General features: G+C 53.4%; 1 protein-coding gene and 1 long non-coding RNA gene across 14 annotated transcripts in view; one reads left to right on the forward strand and one right to left on the reverse strand.

The window, feature by feature from the left end:
- GDPD5 (glycerophosphodiester phosphodiesterase domain containing 5) overlaps positions 1 to 17,895 on the reverse strand; it is a 91,302-nt gene that overhangs the window by 70,398 nt on the left and 3,009 nt on the right. For 2 of the 13 annotated variants that reach the window (XM_047427649.1, XM_011545277.3), the window contains one exon: positions 1,616 to 1,788. The gene's annotated coding sequence lies outside the window, so the exon portion shown is untranslated. 13 annotated transcript variants of the gene reach the window in all.
- LOC105369389 (uncharacterized) lies at positions 7,077 to 16,820 on the forward strand. Its single transcript, XR_007062784.1, has 6 exons — positions 7,077 to 7,157; positions 8,909 to 9,046; positions 9,634 to 9,885; positions 11,707 to 11,800; positions 13,179 to 13,236; positions 13,978 to 16,820. It is a non-coding gene; the product is annotated as an uncharacterized LOC105369389 (long non-coding RNA).

A 17,895-nucleotide genomic window follows, 5' to 3' on the forward strand; every position in this document is an offset into this window, starting at 1 on the left:
CTTGAACCCGGGAGGCAGAGGTTGCAGTGAGCCGAGATCATGCCATTGCACTCCAGCTTGGGTGACAGAGCGAGACTCCATCTCAGAAAAAAAAAAACAACAAAAAAAACCTCTCACTCTTGAGGTAGATAGGGAGATTAGAAAGGGTATTAGGAAGGGGAGTCCAGGAAGGCTTCACAGAAGAGGGGGCATTTGAGCTGGACAGGATTTGGGCAAGCACAGATGGGCCTGGGGCACCACAGATAGAGGCTTGGACCTTTGGCCCCTGCCTCCCTCTCAGGATCCAGCTGCCTCCGGCCCCCAGCCCCACCCCCAGCCCTCCAGATCACCACCTAAAAGCAGTGCCCCAGAGGAGAGCAGGCATTGGCTTGGAAGGAAGAAGGGATTTCCTACTATGTGCTCCCAGGCCCACTCACTGCATGACCTTGGGCCAGTCCTTTTCCTTGTGGGGCCCCTGTTTTCCTGTCTGTACCATCAGAGAATGACCTGCAATTCCTAGGTGTCCTTCCAATTCTCACACTGGGAATAATCTCTGAGTGGGAGGCAGGAGGCACCAGAGACCTGCAGAGAGTGGGGACCAGGACACTCTCTGATCAAAAGACCAGGAATCTGGAGCCACAGCCTCATGATCCTGCCCCAGGCGACCTTTACTCACTTCACAGAAGGGAAATCTGAGACCCAAGTGGATTTGGTTTAATTCAAACTTAACCAACATGTGCCTGCACCTACTATATTTGTGATAGGGCCATAATTCCTCCCTCAGTCCAGAACCGTTTCTCCTATTCCATGCTGCCAAAAGTGGAAAAGACTCTAACATAAGGTAAAGCATGAATCACTGCAGTCAGAGAGACAAAATCCTCCATGCCTAGGTTTCTCTCCAAGAATTCTGACTCTTGCCTCTTTCCCCTGGCTCTCAGGAACCCCTAGTTTCTCCCTCAGAAGGAATGGGGCGGGGCAGTCCTTGGTTCCAATATCAGCTCCGCCAAGTACCAGCTGGGCCTCTGTGTCCTCATCTGCATCATGGGGATAAGGACCCTTCCCAGAGCCCCTTGGGAGGGTCAGATATGGCAAGAGCACAAAATGCTGAGCCAAGGGCTTGGCACACAGTAGGCACTCAATAAAAGGTTGCCATCATCCGTTCTCTCCTTTCCAGACAAAGACGTTTTCATCGATCTGTTTGTTCCTCTCAGGGACGCTTTGTTTGTTTGGGCTCTTCCCAGAAGACACTCCCCCCAGGAACACTGGGTGATGCTCCCCAGCCAGCCCCAGGGAGGAAGAAGGAGGAGGGATGAACTTACTTGATAGGAAAAGGAAAATTCATCATCAGGTAAACACAAGAGAGCAACCCCGGGGAAGTCCAGTGGCTGCCCCTCCACCTAGGAGGACCCAGGGTAGCCTCTTAATAAGCTCCCTAGGGCCTGGCTGGGAGGCCTGATATGATCCGGCTGCTACTTAAATCGCACAAAGCCTTCTATTCTTAGCTGAGCAGAGGCCTGGTTCCATCCCAGCTGTCCATTAGCACTAACCAGCCCCAGGCACACCATCACAGCGGCCAGTCAAGACCACAAGGTAGGGTGGGGGCAGCCCTGTGATCTGACCGAAGTCTGAGACCTACCTGAGGGGGCTACAGATGACTCCCCAGTTGCCAGAGTGTTCACGGAGCCTGCAGAGGGGCTGCCTGGGCTGGATGAAGGTTTGGATTGTGACCCCTTAGGCCTCCTCCAAGTCTGGATTTCATATCACCGAGATTCTATGGTTCCATGATCCAGTGCTTCCAAGATTTGGGAACTGAAAGAGTCCACGGTTCTAAGGACCAAGGTTCCAAGATGCCAACAAAGACGGAATGCTGGGCTCTAGAGTGTGCACCCTGCCCCTGCCCCCCTCCCCTTCTCTGTCCAACCCTTAAGTGGCAGAGGATGGCCAGCTCTATCCCAATCCTGTGGTCCCCAGGCAGGGGAGTAGCACAGACAGCATGGTGGACTCGGCACTGAGGTCAGCAACACTTGTTTTACGCCACCCCTAATCCACTGGCGCAAGACTCCCTGGGGAACTTCTGGGCACTGCAGGACAAACAGGGAAAGAAAGAGGAGAAGGGCCAAAGCTGCCCTGGGGCCCACCAATGCCAGACGCTGCTGGGCAGGATGTTCAGTGTCTGCTCTGTGCCAGCAGGGCCAGCATACCCCTGTCAGGCGGACATGGGGAGGCTGGGTGGGCTACCCAAGGTCACAGGCCAGAAAGTGCAGCAGCTGGGCCAAGAACCCCAGGCTGGGCTGGCTTCAGAGATCACTGCTCCCCTCACCCTGCTTTGCTGTAGGCCACAGCTTCCTGGGACCACTTCTTCCAACATCCTCATTTAGAGGGGAAAACTGAGGCCCAGAGGGAGAAAGGGCCTATGATCAAGGTCACATAGAGAACTGGTGGCAGAGCCAGGCAGAATCTTTCCCAGGCTGGGGGGCACTGGCTGCCTCCAAGCCCCACTGGGTCACAGCCACTGAGCCTTCTCTACATTCCTCCTTTAAAGCCCAGACCGGGGTTCTTAAGGCAGGGCTGTCTCCTGTTCCCTTAGTCCCCAACACAGTGGTTGCCCCACGAGGCCATCTGAGTGACAAGCCAAGAATCAGAGGATAGGACAGTGGGTCAATGCTTCACACCCAAGGCTGGCCAGTGGAGCACACACATGGTCTGGAGAGAGCTGACCCTGTCAGATGCTGGGGACACTCACAGGGACACTTGTCAGGAACACTCAGAGGCTAATTAAGCAGCTGTCCCATTAAGGAAAGCAAATCAGGCTCTACACACGCATTGACCATCACAGAGCCTGCCAGTCATCAGGACAGGACACCCAGCCTCAGCTGCCTGAGCCCTTGACCCGCACTCTGGGCCATCATCCCCCAACACCCACCCCCAGCACCCACTATCTATCAGTTGCTTTTTTTTTTTCCACAGTAGGATTTTATAGATTATTTCTCATCTGAAGCTCACAATGAGCCTGAGAATTAGGTACTTGTTCCCTCCATTTTATAGGACAGGGAGGACAAGGGACTCGCCCACGTCACCTGGCTAATATGACAGAGTCAGGACTCACACCCAGTGGCTTTACATGGTCCCAGGGGAAAGGTCAACAAATACCTGGGTAATTTTGAAGTCCTTTTCGTGGAGTCACAAGGTACAAAAACGTGTCTAAGCTGCACTGATCATTTTGAGGAAGTTGACAAGAATTTCCTCTCTCCTGTTTACAGAGACCACAGATCAAGTATCTAAAAACATCCAATTTCTTTGCTCTGGCCTAGCATTAGATCTGCCTTGCAAATCGGTGGCCTGCCATGTATCCGGTGCCTTCCTGGGTGTGCCACCCACTGGGTTGATTTGATCTCACACCAGCCTTGTGACGTTGGCCTTATCATCAGCATCTTAAAATGAGGCCAGCTAAGGCTCAGAGAGCCCCAGGCACAAATTCAAGGTTGCACAGGCACACGGATGGAGCCAGGACAGGAAGCCAGGTGTGTTCCTGCTTGGTCTTTTTAAGACAGGGGGAGAGTTGGAGGAGGGGTAAATTGACGTTTGTTCACTGGGATCTTATAAAAATAATCTGCTTAGGTTTACATCAATATCCCACTATATCTTTCTCCCTGCCTGCCACTCTGCCTCCCCCACTGTGGCCCCCATGCCAATCTAAGCGGAGGGAGGATCTGTGATGCCTCTGGGTGCCAGCCTCACCAGCTGTCTGCCCCTACTCCCCCCACATAGGGCCAGGACCATCTGGAGCTGCTCAGGAACAAGGGCACTGAGAGGGACCCCCAGAATTCCAGGCGAAGGGGTGCTGGGCACAACCTAGCCTTGTCCCTCCAGCACCTACCCTGGGCAGGTGGCTTTGGCTCAGCATGCTGTGACAGGCTGCAGGCCTCCCAGAGGGGGTACCTGAGGCCCTGCTGAAATAAAGCAGTGTCCACATTGAAGATCTTGGTCATCCCGACTGACAGCTCCTGGCATGAACAGGGAAGTGGAAGGGATGTGGAGTGACTGTCTTTTTCTGCCCCTCAAGCCCTATGCCCACCAGCCACCCAGGGATGCAGGACACAGAGAGGCTCCTGTATGTGGGCAGGTCATGTTAGACCCAGACTGTAAACAGGACAGACAAGTTGGGTGTGGGGGGTGTTCTTGACATGTGCTCCCAGCCTTCCTCAGAGGCCGAGACCCCTGGGTTGCAGCCAGGGAAGGGGCGGTATCTGGTCCCTGGGCCCAGCAGATAGGAAGGACAGCACCATCTTTCTTTCTGTTCAAACACAGACAGGGCTGCAGACACACAGTTCTGGCCTGTGTGTGCGACTTGTACATAATTCAGAGGCTCCTATTGCTCTGGCCTGGATAAAATGTACCAGCAGGGGCAGCTTGCACAGAGAACAGTGAGCTGATGCCAGGGAGCACTTCCTGAAAAGAGGTGAGTGGCCCAGAGGCTTGGGGGATTAATATAAATTGGACAAATGAATATTGTTAATGCCAAGAACTGTTTACTTGTTTGTGGAGTAAGTCAGTTTATAATCCATGTTCAAACTTTATCTCGTTGAACCTTCATAAAAGTCCAGTGTGGAAGTTACTATTAACAGACAAGAAGGCGGAGGCTCAGAGGCTGAGTCACTTGCCCATTTTCTTTTTCTTTTTTGAGATGGAGTCTTGCTCTGTTGCCCAGGCTGGAGTGCAGTGGCACGATCTCAGCTCACTGCAATCTCCGCCTCCTGGGTTCCAGCGATTCTCCTGCCTCAGCCTCCCGAGGAGCTGGGATTACAGGCACGCACCACCAAGCCCGGCTAATTTTTGTATTTTTAGTAGAGACAGGGTTTCACCATGTTGGCCAGGCTGGTCTCGAACTCCTGACCTCAAGTGATCTGCCCGCCTCGGCCTCCCAAAGTGTTGGGATTATAGGCATGAGCTACCACACCTGGCTGCCCATTTTCACATAGATGGAAGCAGAGCTCCCTCCCCGTGCTAAGCTGCAGCATGCGCTCAATGCCACTGCCACTCCCAGTCACGGGACACCAAGGAATGTCCTTCTGGGCTCAGGGGGCCAACTGCTGAAGGGAGAAAGCACGAGGGGCAAAGTTCCCTGGCAGCGGGAGGGCTGTCCCCCACTCAGGGCACCATGGCCCCAGCCCTGCTGGGGCAACCCAGAGAACCCTGAGGCAGGAGACAGGGAGAGTGGTGAGGCCTTCCCCTGCACAAGCATCCAGAACTCCTGAGAGCTCTTCAGAGTAGGAAGGGAGGTGCCAGGTGACCTCGCCTGACCACAAATGTGAGGAACCCGAGGCCTACAGAGGAAGAGTCCAGCCAGTCCACAAACACCCACTGGGCACCAGCCAGGTGCTGGGGACACTGGGATGAATGTGACCAGCTCTGAAGAGGCTCCTCATCAGGTAAGCACCCACTTGGCTGGAGCTCAGACCCTCAAAATCTGCCCCAGAAACTTCTCCAGCCCCGTCTGACCTCCTTTTCCTCCCTCTGCTCCCACATCCACAGGCTCCTTACAGGGTCCTCATGACACAGTGTCATGTGCTGCCTCCTTTCACCTCTGCTCCAGCTGTTGGAAGAATGCCCTTCCCAGCCACCTGGAGCCCATCCACCCCCACTCCCCCATCTCTTCTTCGCAGAGCCTCACTTAAGTGCCCCCCAACCCCAAGCTGAGACTGATGGACCCCAGGAGGAAGCTCGCTCCCTTCTCCCCCTCCCCCCTCCTCCTCCTCCGGGCCTCCCCATGCTCTTGACCTCCCTTGCAACATCTGTGCACTCTGCCCAGGGTAATGGGTCCTGGAATTGCCTCACTCTCTGCCCCTCAGGACCTGGGACTAAGAAGGTACAGCTCCGCTGAATTGAGTAAATGTGTCACCCACCCAAAGCAACGACCCAGAGCAATTAACAGATCACTTCTTCCTTTTAAGGCATGTATTTAAGGCTTGTCTTTCTTTGAAAACCCTCGGAGGAAAGAGATGCAGCACTGTGGGGGAAAAATGAAATGGAAGAGACTTAGATTGTCTTGGCATTTCCAAGTGCTGGCTCTGTTCCTGGCACACAGTAGATGTCTGAGATATGTTCTTTTGGTGGATGAAAGAATAAAAATATCTCCACGGCCACTTGCCCCTGCTGCCTGAAGTTCCACCATTATCACTGAATCTTTTCTGGGGCTAAAGAGTATTCCCTGTGATGCTCTCTCAAAATGCAGTCCTGGGCCAGGAAACTAGCTCTGGCTGGGGGTTTCCTTGCACAAAACAGCAAGGTCAGGGTTTGCCCATGAGATCTTCTCACTGCATTCTCAAGACGGTGTGTCCAGACCCTGCTCTTTGACCAAGGAGTTGCATGTTCAAATAAGCTTAGGAAAGGCTGGCTGCACACTCTGCCACCCATTGGGGTCCCTAATTCGTATTAATACATTAAAGACCCTGAGAAGGCCTGTTTGGATTTATGTGACCTAGCGTTTCCCAAATCTGTATGCTCATGCATCCTTGAATCCATTCCCATGCCACGGGACTAGGGCTCCTCAGGGGACAGTTTGGGGAGTGTGGACTAGATAGTGCGCCTGGGTCCAGGCGGGACAAGGTCTGCAGGTTGAAGGGTGTCTGTGGCTGCCACCCAGCCAGGGCCATGCTTCCCTGCACTGACCATTTGACAGAGGCAAAAAGTCCAACCTCAGCCACCACCACCAATAGCTCATGACAGAGACAGATAATGAACATGGCATCAGACAGCCTCCAAACGTAGCGCAAAGGAGGGAGAAGGTAACAGAGTGGGCCAGAGACCTGAGTGAGTTCCAACTGTGACTTTGTGCTCACTGCTGGCCATTGGGCGGGGGGACCCCATCCTGCTAAGCTTTGTTTTCATCATCTGCAAAATGGGGATAATGCTATTCTCAGGGCTGTTGTGAAGATTGAGGTAATGCAAGCAGAGGCAGATTACAAACTGTCAAGTCCTGTGCCAGCATTTGCTGTGTGCATCATTATTTTACTGCATGCATGGCCAGGAGGGTGTGGTAATGTCTTGATTGATCACAAGCCACTGCAGAGGTCCTCAATCAGGACAGATGGATGGATGGATACATGGATGCATGGAAGAATGCACAGACAGAATCCCCAGTGTGACACAGGCTCACCAATGGCTGACTGGTTGAATAGGTATGAATGAATACACGAACCAATTCTAGTAAGGTCAATTGTTCCATTTCTTAGTCCCTAACTGGTAGAAGCATGAAATTGGGAAGGACACACACACACACACACACACACACACACACACACACACACACGAGGGGAGAGGAAAGAGATGCAGCGCTCTGGAGGCAAGTCTGTGGGCAGCAGAATAAAGGAACCGACAGGGTGGGAAGAGCCAGAAACCAGAGTTGAACACATGCAGCAGCCCAGGGTCATCTGGCACAGGGGTCAAGCCGCGTCGGCATTCTCAGCAAGGCAGGCGGGGTTCCTAAGGCCTGTCCCTCAACCCGTCCATGTTGCCATTGTTCAGAGGAAGAAAGTGATCAATCTCTTTTGCAAAGGTTTCCAACCAAAACTGTTAGAGTTGTTTTTAATGGGATAGAGAGCAGAAAGAAGTCTTTAGAGCTGGGTGTGGTGGCTCACTCCTGTAATCCCAGCACTTTGGGAGGCCGAGGCAGGTGGATCACCTGAGGTCAGGAGTTCCAGACCAGACTGACCAACATGATGAAACCCTGTCTCTACTAAAAATACAAAATTAGCTGGGCGTGGTGGCGGGCACCTGTAATCCCAGCTATGTGGGAGGCCGAGGCAGGAGAATCACTTGAACCTGGGAGGCAGAGGTTGCAGCCTGGGCAACAAGAGCGAAACTCTGTCTCAAAAAAGAAAGAAAGAAAGAAGTCTTTAGGGCAAGACACAGGCCTTAGCTGCTTCTTCTGGAAAAATGTTTCTTACAGTTTATATGAATTCATCAACACATCTATGCACAGGACATACTGTGTACCAGGCAAGTGCTGTTGGGCACTGGGGACACAATGCCACGTCTAGACAGCATCACACGTGGAGGGTTCTGGATAAATGAGGTATCGGGTCACTTGAGGATGGAGAGGGAGGTTTTATAGAAAAAATTCACAGACAAGAAGTCTGGAGGACCAATTTAAATCATTACATGACCTCAGACAAGTCACCTTCCTTCTCTCAGCCTCCATCTTCCCTTCTATAAAGTGGGTCTGATAAAAATCATGAAAACTATTACATGGCACCAGACACTGACCCAGCAGTTACAGATGTTCTCTTAAGGCACACAGCCAGCAAGGCAGGTGTTGCTAACAATTTGTTGTGGAGTAAATTGTCCCTTTCACAGATGAGCAAACTGAGACTTGGCTGGTTACCAACTTGCCTGAGGTCAGAGAGCCGGTGGGAGTCAGGGTGTAAGCTCCGGTGTGTCTGATTCCAGAGCCCACACTCTCCTGCCCTCCCAAACAAGTCCCACACTTCCTCCTCACAGACTGCTGTGAGGATGCAATGACATCACAGATATCAGAGCGCTTCGTAAAGTTAAACTGTCATGTGTCCAAAGTCAACAAAAAGTCAGTCTTGACTCTCCGTGAAACTAAACACTGAAGTTTACAGGGGCACTCAGAACTAGTCACAGCCTAGAACTCCTGGGTTCCTCGCTCTCAACCTCTGGCATTCCTCGGCTAACTTCCTCCCAGGGAAAGGGACCCAGCAATCCCAGGAGCCCCAGATGACCCCTCAAGGCCCACAGAGCAGGGTTCCCCTGGCACCCATAGGGCCTCCTCCTAGACCAGGAGACCACCTGGCTAGTAGCCTCCTGACTCTCCTGTGCTCCACTCCTGCTGAGGACCTAGAGGGCACGGCCTGGCCCAGGTGCCATGGGAGCTGCCGCAGGGACCCTCACCACTTCCCACCGACAGGCTGTGGGACCTCAAGCCAGTCACCTCACCTGCCTGAGCCCGAGGTTTCTCACCTGCAAAATGAGGGATGAAAGCGGATCTCATGTGGGAAAGGAGCCACTCCAAGGAGAGACTCAAACATGACTGCCCTTGAGCTGGGTGAGTTCAGCTGAGTGGGTAGGAAGGGGAGCACCAGGCTCTGTTTTGAGGAGGGAGGCAAAACCCTACCTACCAGGAATCACCCATCTAACCTTGAATTCTCGGCCTGCCCTTGGCAGTCCTGGTCTGAGAGATGGACTCAGCTGCTACCACTGCCAGCCACCAGCAGGACCCTATCTGCTGTCTTCCCAGGTTGGCTAGGGTCCCAGAGGGGGAGAAGCAGGAGAAGGGTCTTCAGTCAGAACTACATATGTCTTCACTGGAGGGACCTGGGCCCTAGAGCACAGACATCCTTGCAGGCCCACGGTGGCCCGAAATGGTTGCTAACTGGCCTTGGGCCACACAGTGAGACGGAGGTGCCAGGACCCAGGCCTTTAGGCCCAGCCCAGGGCTCTCTGCACGGGCCCAAAGTCACCCCTTTTGGAGCATGCATTAAGCACAGAGAGGAAGAACAGTGTGAAGAGTTAGGATGATGCACCCCCTATCCTGCCATGGTCAAGAGGCTCTGGCCATTGACAGTTGAACCCCCAAGCTCCAAGGTGAAAATCAACACCTGGTCACCCAGTTCTCTGCTTCACTCACTGCAGGCACTGACAGGGCACATCTGGACAGAGGAGGGGCTCAGTCTGCCTCTGCAGAGTCCCCAGCAAGAGGAAGAAGGCTCCAATTGCAGCAGAGTGGACTTCAATTAGTCTCAAGAAAGAACTTCCTGCAGAGGCATTAAGCATGAACAGCATACAGAGAAGGGGGGCATGATGAGGGCAACTGTAGCATCTCCTCTGAAATACAGGATGCTGTCTCATTCATTATGTCATTTTACTTTCAAACCAGCCTGGAAGGTAAGTGTTGCTGCTCTAATTTTATAGGTGAGCAACTGAGGCTCAGAGAGGCTAAGTGACTTGCCCATGTCTTCTAAGTTCCACTCAAGAGAGGCAGAGCCAGGATTCCAAGCCAGAATTCTGACTCCGAGGCCCACATACCTCCCTTCTCAGGAAGTCTCTGAGGATCCAGGTGTTACCACACCTGCCATGGGCATCTCACTGTGTCACCTCAGATGCCTAGGTGTGAGCTGGTGGAGATGCCAGGGGCATTCCTTTCAGGAAGGAGAGGGAGTGCTCGCTGGCAGCCAGCTGTAAAGGGCTCTGTGTCCTAGACCTGCCGGCTGTGCCCCTGCAGACAACACCCCGTGGGGGCCTCCCACATGGTTTCCATGCAAAGTGTCATATCTTCTGTCCTCTCCCTGACCATGCCTCCTCTTGGGCAAGGCTCAGTCTCTGGCACCATTATGCCTCCTGCTCCCTGCCTGGCAAGAACCACACCCCCCACCTAACTCCACACCCAGACTCCCCATCACAAGGCCTGGCAGCATTTGGTGGCACTTGCTGCACGGCCTGTCCCAGGCCTGCCCAGCCCCACGCTCCTCTTACCTGACATTCATAGGCTCCTGGGAGACCCTCTGAACTCAGAGTGGCATGGCTCTTAACACCCTGGACATGAGGAACATGTTCTGGGTCCAGGGCTATCCCCAGAACTGTGGCAATGACTGCCCAGCTCTAAGGAAGGTGTGTGAAGTGGCCACATCATGGCCAGCTCTGGGATGGGCAAGTCGCAGCAGGGCTGGGGCCGCTGCTCTGTGCACCTGAACTCGCCTGACACTAGCCTACCTGTGACTTCTGCTCCACTCCAGAGGTTCCCCTGTCCCTGGCAGGGTCACCCCAGAAGCCATCTATAGCTTACTTTGGTGGAGGAGGCAGAGAGGGAGAGATGGGTACCTCCAAAACTCCTCTCGCCGAGGTGTCTGTGGCAGCTCGGCTGCTGATTCATCTTTGGGGTAAGGGCTGAGAGCCCCTTCATTAAGGGGTATGGTAAAAACAGATGATCTTTAAACTGTGTCCTAAGGACAGTGTATTCAGTGGACTCCCGGGCTTTTGATGGACAGAGTGAGGAAGTGTCTTTGGTTTGCTTCTCCAGAGCCACTCTCTACCTTGTTTGGGGCCCTGGGAACTGACCTCTGTGGAATGTAATGGGCTCCATGCTGCTGGCTTTCAGAGAGGTACACCCAACAGGAAGCATAAATGGGGGACTGAAGGAAAGAGGAAAGATAGTTGAAGTTTATCCCCTGTGAGGTCTCCTGGGTTGACTGGGTCCCTGTACTGATGGCCCACAGCCCCTATCCCTATAGCTGCCCACTTCCCTTGCTCCTTCAGCCCTGAGTGGTAACTGCTCCCAGCCACTGCTAGTCCCTCGGTGCTGCACTATCCCGTGTTGATTTGTCACACGCCTAATGCCTGAGCCAGTCACTCTGGGTTGATGTACCCTCTCTGGCTGTGCCCAGGCAAGGAGACCAAGCACTGCCACTGATGGCCCCTTTTGTAGTCTTCCTCTGTCCAGTCCTCAGAGCCTCCTCTGGTCTTAAAGAAGAGCAGTTTGAAGGGATGCCCATGATTACATGTGCAGGCCTCCTCTGTCCTCTGTCTCAGCCTGGGCCTGGTGGGGCAAGGGGAGCAGACTGGGAGACAGGGAGCGTGGACCAGCCAGTGAAGGAAGGGGCAGGAGGCAGGGGTCAGCTCCCCAGCAAGTGCATGCACCAACAGCTCTTGAGTGCTTAGTTTACGGTAGGCACTGTGCTCCACATACCAGTAATTTTATTTGCTTCTCAGGTAATCCCAGGAAGTCCTTCCTACAAATGCATTTTATAGGAGAAACAACTCGTGCTCAAAGAGATAAAATGATTCTTCCAGGGTCATCCTGCCAGTAAGTGACAAAGCCAGGATCAACATAAGTTTTCTGTCTTCTGTATGGTAGACACGTTGGACAGTGATACCTGGACTTGAGCAAGCCCTGAGAATGACCTTGTATGGCAGGCGCACCTCAATGCAGTTTGGTTCTAAGCTAAGGAATCTGGGAGTAGCCAACCCGGAGATCCACTCCTTATCTATGAGGAACATCTGAGCTCTTGGCCCATCCTATGGAACTTGCGGGCCAAACAGAGGATTGAGGTCTGTGGTTTGGGGTAAATGGAGGTTGCTAGGTGGAAGTTGTTGGGGGAGGTGCTAAGTGAAAATGCTATAGAAATTGCAAGCTTTTAGGCTGGGGGGCGGTAGCTCACAGCTATAATCCCAGCACTTTGGGAGGCTGAGGCAGGCGGATCACCTGAAGTCAGGAGTTTGAGACCAGCCTAACCAACATAGCGAAACTCCATCTCTACTAAAAATACAAAATTAGCTGCGTGTGGTGGCACTTGCCTGTAATCCCAGCTACTTGGGAGGCTGAGGCAGGAGAATCGCTTGAACCTGGGAGGCGGAGGCTGCAGTGAGTGAAGATCGCGCCATTGCACTCCAGCCTGGGCAATAAGAACGAAACTCTGTCTCAAAAAAAAAAACCAAAACCAAAACCAAAAACAAAAAAACTGCACACTTCCTGCGAGTGGTTGTGGTTCTTCGGTCCAGCCAGCAGCCACTGGACTCTCTCCCCTGTGTGTGAGCCCGTAGTAAAACCCCATGGCTCATTCGCTGGCTCTGGGTCTCCTCTTTGGCCTCTTGAGCCTGGTGCCATCCTCACTGGCACTGATAGGGGTTTAGCTCAACACCTAGTAACTACCTTGAAATAATTTTAGTGAACTGGCTCACAATCACAGCAGAGTTGGATGACTTAAGTGGGGTCAATTATCGGTGAGGATTTGCACAGAGGCCTCCAATGTTCCCTGGACACCCTCCCCTAGATTAAAAAAAAAAATCCTCTGACATTCTTCAGTTCTCCCAGGTGGGACAGGGGCCCCAAGCAGGTGGTGCAGTTGGGTGTCCGGGTTGGAAAAACAAGCAGATTCAGACAAGGCTTCATTGTTAAGGAGAGTCTGACACTTTGACCATTAAAGCAAAACTGAGCAAAACAAAATGCTTACTGCCTTGTCTTATCTCTTAGAGAGAAAGGGGACAGTGGGAAGGGCCCCCGGGCTGGGTGTTGATCCCACCCTAACCAGCGCCAGTCTCAGAGACCTGGCCTCAGGTGGCTGGGGCAGGGAGTTCAGGGTCTCAGTCCAGCCCGGCGTCAGGTATGGGGTGGGTGCTTGCCATGTGTGGCCTCGTCTGGCCTCTGTGGCCCTTTCAGAGAGATCGTTATTGTCATTTTTCAGATGAGGAAACTGAGGCTCCGAGAAGACACGCAGGGAGCAGCTGCATGCTGGAACCCAGGTTAACTGGATTACCAAGTCTTCCCACTCCCCTCATCTCTCCAGGCAGGAAGGTCCTGGGGGGAGGAAGCAGCCTCGGAAGGAATGAGCTCCTTGTCCTGGGGATGTGCAAGTATTGTCTTGGGACACTGTGGGAGGTAGGCTGCAGAGGGCAGCCAGGTGGCTCTCAAACTGAAATCACCAGGGGAGCTTCATCAACTACTGATGCCTGGGTCATGCCCCAGAGATTGTGGGGCCTGCAGGACTTTTAAAAGTTTCCCAGATGATTCTAATGTGAAACAAAGTTTGAAAGCCATGGGCTTGGATGCCCACTGCTGCCCTTCCCACCTCTGAAACTCTCCTGCCACACGCCTTTCTAAGGAAAGAAGGGATTTATTACCCTGACCCCATTTTACAAAATGGGCAGAAGCCAAGCAAAATATAAGGGTGTCCTCAAGGCCCCACAGCCAGCAACAAATCGAGGCAGCATGAGGGGTCCCCTGATTTCAGACTGCCCCTGGGGTGAGCTTCTTTAAGACACTTGGGGGTTCCAGCTCCCTTGTCAGTGGGAGAGAAGTTTCTCTTTGAGCCTCCTGGGTGAGAGAGTGAGACATTCTTCGTGGCATTTTTTTTAAAGAGTCCACTCGTTCAAAAGCTAAACAGCTGCAGGATTAACGCTGGAAGACCCCCTCTGCTTGCTGGTGTGCCTTGGGAGCAAGAAGATAAAAGAACTCAAAGCAGGCCTGTTTATCCTTTTCTGCAGGAGATTTGGTCACAAGCCTGGGAAGAGCTGAGCCTGTCAGACCAGCAGCCCACACTTCCTCCCCACCTGCCTTTCCGCCTTCCTCATGCCCTGAAAGCAGAATGTCACAGATGGAGAGATGGTGTGGGTTGGTGGGAAGTGAGAGGCCTGTGGAGTCCACTGGTCCTGGGGTCTGCCCAAGCTCTCCTCCTTGCCAGCTACCTTTGGAGAGGAGCTACTCCTCTCTCAGCTCATTCAGTGCTGATCTCACAGAGGTCCAAAGTCAGCAACATGGGCACCACCTCCAGGAAGGCTTCCCTGACTCCCCTCCCCACCCAGCGCCGGGCAACCCCAGGCCCCTGGCCTTCCCTGTCACATTCTGTGTTGTCACTGCTTCTGTGTCCTCCCAACCCTACCAGGCTGTTCATTCATTCATTCCACGGAGCAGCTGCCCTTTGCCTGGGATTCATTCCAAACGCCTTTCCTGAGCACCTGTTTTCTCTAAGATCCTCTGTGAGGTGCTGGAGATACAGATCATAACAGCTAACCTGCACTGAGTGCTCATTATGTGCTGGGCATTTTTTTGAGTGCTTTACACGTATAATTCATTTCACCCTCACAACTCTATGATGAAGATGCTGTAATTATCCCCATTTTACATATGGGGAAACTAAAGCCCAAAGAGGTTAAATCACTTGCCCAAGTCATTTAGCCCTACCCTGTGCCACCAGCCACAGATACTGATGGGACCGGCCCCTGCCTCAGGAGCCTGCTTCTCACAATTTGGAAGTTTTGCATCTGTGTGTTTCCTTGTCTAATGCTGTTTCCCCCACAGACCAGAATCTCCAACCATGTTACATTTCGGTTGGATGTGTGTGTGAGCAGCACCAAATAAATGCTGCTTCCCTTTAAGGAAGAACTCACACTCTCTGCCCAGCATCTGCTAGCTGGACGCCAGACGGCTTCTCCCACCTGGGTCATTTCTTCTGCGTAGGCCTGAGAAGAAAACCCAAGTCCCCAGATATCCCAGTCCTGCTCCCTCCCCTGAACCTAGCTCGGGACCCTTCCAGGCCAACAGCACCTGCTTACACACCACTGTTCACAGGGAAGGTGGTGGGAACTGTGAATCTGCAAACCCCAGCTAAGTCCCCCTAAGGGAAGGCCTCCCTGCCATCTGGCACGCCCTCCCTCCAGCCATCACTCACTGGACTCTTCCATCAGCTTCTTACTGAGTTGCTCGTTCACGAAGCCATCGAGGGGATGGGCAAGAAGACTCATGCTGATGGAGTACCCACCTGTGTGCCAGGCCTGGACAGGCACCCCACTTCCTTCATCTCATTTAATAACAGTTATTATCAGCCCCAATGTACAGGGAAAAAACAGAGGTGCAAAAGTTGAGCAAGTTGTCCATGGGGCAGCTTGCACTGCCTCCCCTGGCCCGGAGGGTGTGGCTCTGTGCCAGGCACACTGCTAGGCACTCAGAGGGAGGGGAGGATTCGGTGGGGGCACATAGAATCTAGTTTTGACAAGCCAGCAAGGGAAGCAGACCAAGCAGAACCCCAATCCACAGACCACAGTCAGTGTGCAGAGGGCCATGAATCAGCAGCAGAGGAGGCTTGGATCCCACCTGCATGGGAGGAGTACTGGAAGCTTATAGCAGGCAGCATCTTTGGACCTGGTTGAACTCCTTACTGCTCTTTCCCATGGTCACAGCAGGAGAAAGGGTAAGCCTTGGCCTACAAAGCTCTGGTGCCCAGTGTGTGTTTGCCACCACCCCAAAGGGGGCAAAGGGAGGAGAAGCTGGCTGCCCTGCCAGTGACCCCGCTGTGGCCCGGCCAGCCTGCCTCCAGTCCCGCCAACTTGGCCTGGCCTGGCCCAGCCAGTTCCCAATCACAGGGTCTCCTCTGCCAGCTAATGACCATGCTGCCTGCAGCTCAGGCCACCACCCTCCTTTGGGCGAGGCAGCTACCCACACAGCCTGCTGGCCCAGACAGTGGCCAGGCCAAAAATCACAGCTGCCCGTCATACCACATCCTCTGGCCCTGGTGCTGTGGTCTCCTCCTCCTCCCTCCAGGGTCACGAAAGACGATGTAGAAAGCTGGAGCTACAGGGGAGCTCAGAACCCACCCTGCTCCCCATAGACATGGACACACGGGACCCCAGAGAGGGGCCGACTCACCCCAGGTCACACAGACAACCAGCCAGCCTGTGCACGGCCTAGGGCCCAGGTCCTTCCTGGGCCCCATGCTCAGTCCAACACTGCCCTTCCTTAGCCTTGAGAAAAAACCTTGTCCAGGCTTTTTACACACAAAGTATGCTTTCAAGGTACTTGGGTGGAGGTGAGGAGACAGGACATCTTCTAAGCACAGATTTACAATTCAAACAGATGCAGCTTGGCTCCCTGCTCCCTACCTTTGAGCTGTGTGACCTCGGGCAAGATCAGGTACCTCTCTGAGCCCCAGTTTCTAGGGGATAACAGTAGCTACCTCAGGGAGTTTGTGTGAACAAGAGTGTCTATAAAACATTTAGCACATTGTCTGGCTCATAGTAAGTACTCAAGATATCAGCTGTTGTTGATATCATCACTGTAGTATTGTGTGGATACATTTTACAAACTGCAAAATGTTATGGATAGTAGGTATTATTTTTTACTATTACTGCTGAATGTTAAAGATTCAGAGGGGGCATGACCAGAGGGTTGGGTAATCCAGGAATGTTTCTGAGGGAATTTATGACCTCAGTCAGGTCTTGACAGGTGGGGAGGTAAGTGGAGCAGAGGCAGGGATGGCGGTTCTGATGGGAGGAACCACAAACAAAGGGGCTGTGATGGGGCCACATGTGGTGTGTTTAGGAGACAGTGCAGAGCAATGAGCCAGAAGGCCGGGCAGAGGCTAAGGTGACCAAGGACCTGAATGCCATAACTAGGGCCTGGTCTTCATCTTACAGGCCGTAAGGAGCCACAGAGGCTTCTAAATGGGGGCTCCATTAAGCTTTCTGAAATGTGAGTTCTGTCTAACATTCAAGGCCCTCTCCTATATGGGCATTCACCCCTCACTAACCCCACCAAGCCATCCTCCTCGCCCCAAGTTCTCCCTACCTCTCGGCTTACCACGCTATCCCACCTGCCCCGCCACTAGCCCACTAGCTCACACTCATGATGAGGCACCCCCTTGTTGAGTGCCTAAAGTGCCGTGTGTTTCACACATGGGACCTCAAGATGATCCTTAACAGCCTTGAGAAGTGGACATCACAACCGTCATTTCACAAAGGGGGAAATGGAGGCCTGATGGGATCATGTGTCTTTCCCATGCTCTCAGTGAGGCGGTGGCACAGCCAGGATTCCTTCTTGGAGGGATGTCAGGACCCCCCGTCTTTGCAGCAAGTTTCCTCTAGCTCCTGCCCAGACAGCCACCTCCCTGACAAAGCCTTCCTGGTTACTCCAGTCCTCAAGGGCCTCCCCTCCACCCCTTTCTGCCCTGTACCCTCCCCCTTACTCCTCCCCGTCACCACCTCTCTGGAATCAGAGGCCCACTTGATCCTAGCTCAGCTAGCTTGGTTCCCAGTGTTGCCTGTGGGACCATCTGGCCCCCAACAGAAGAGACAGGACATCATCAACCCCAGCTCTCTCCTGTTGGGGGCCAGATGACACTTTCTCCCTGTCCTATCCTGCCTGCCCCCCCATATCCAAGACTGCTAACAGCACAGACAGGAGCCCCCACCTCCTCTGGTAGGGTTCAGAAGCTCACTGAACATAGAGCTATTTCCCTGAGCCTGCCCCCAGCTGAGGGGAGTATTAATTATTCACTGCACCTTGGTGCCTAGGGAGGTCAGACAATGGGCCCGAGGGAATGGACACCAGCTCCAGGCACCACAGCCCTGCCAGCAGGAAGCCAAGGGAGGGGGTAAGAATCCAGAGCCCCTTGCCGGTGTCCCCAAGCA

Source organism: Homo sapiens, chromosome 11 (assembly GCF_000001405.40).
Source record: "Homo sapiens chromosome 11, GRCh38.p14 Primary Assembly".
NCBI lineage: Eukaryota > Metazoa > Chordata > Mammalia > Primates > Hominidae > Homo > Homo sapiens.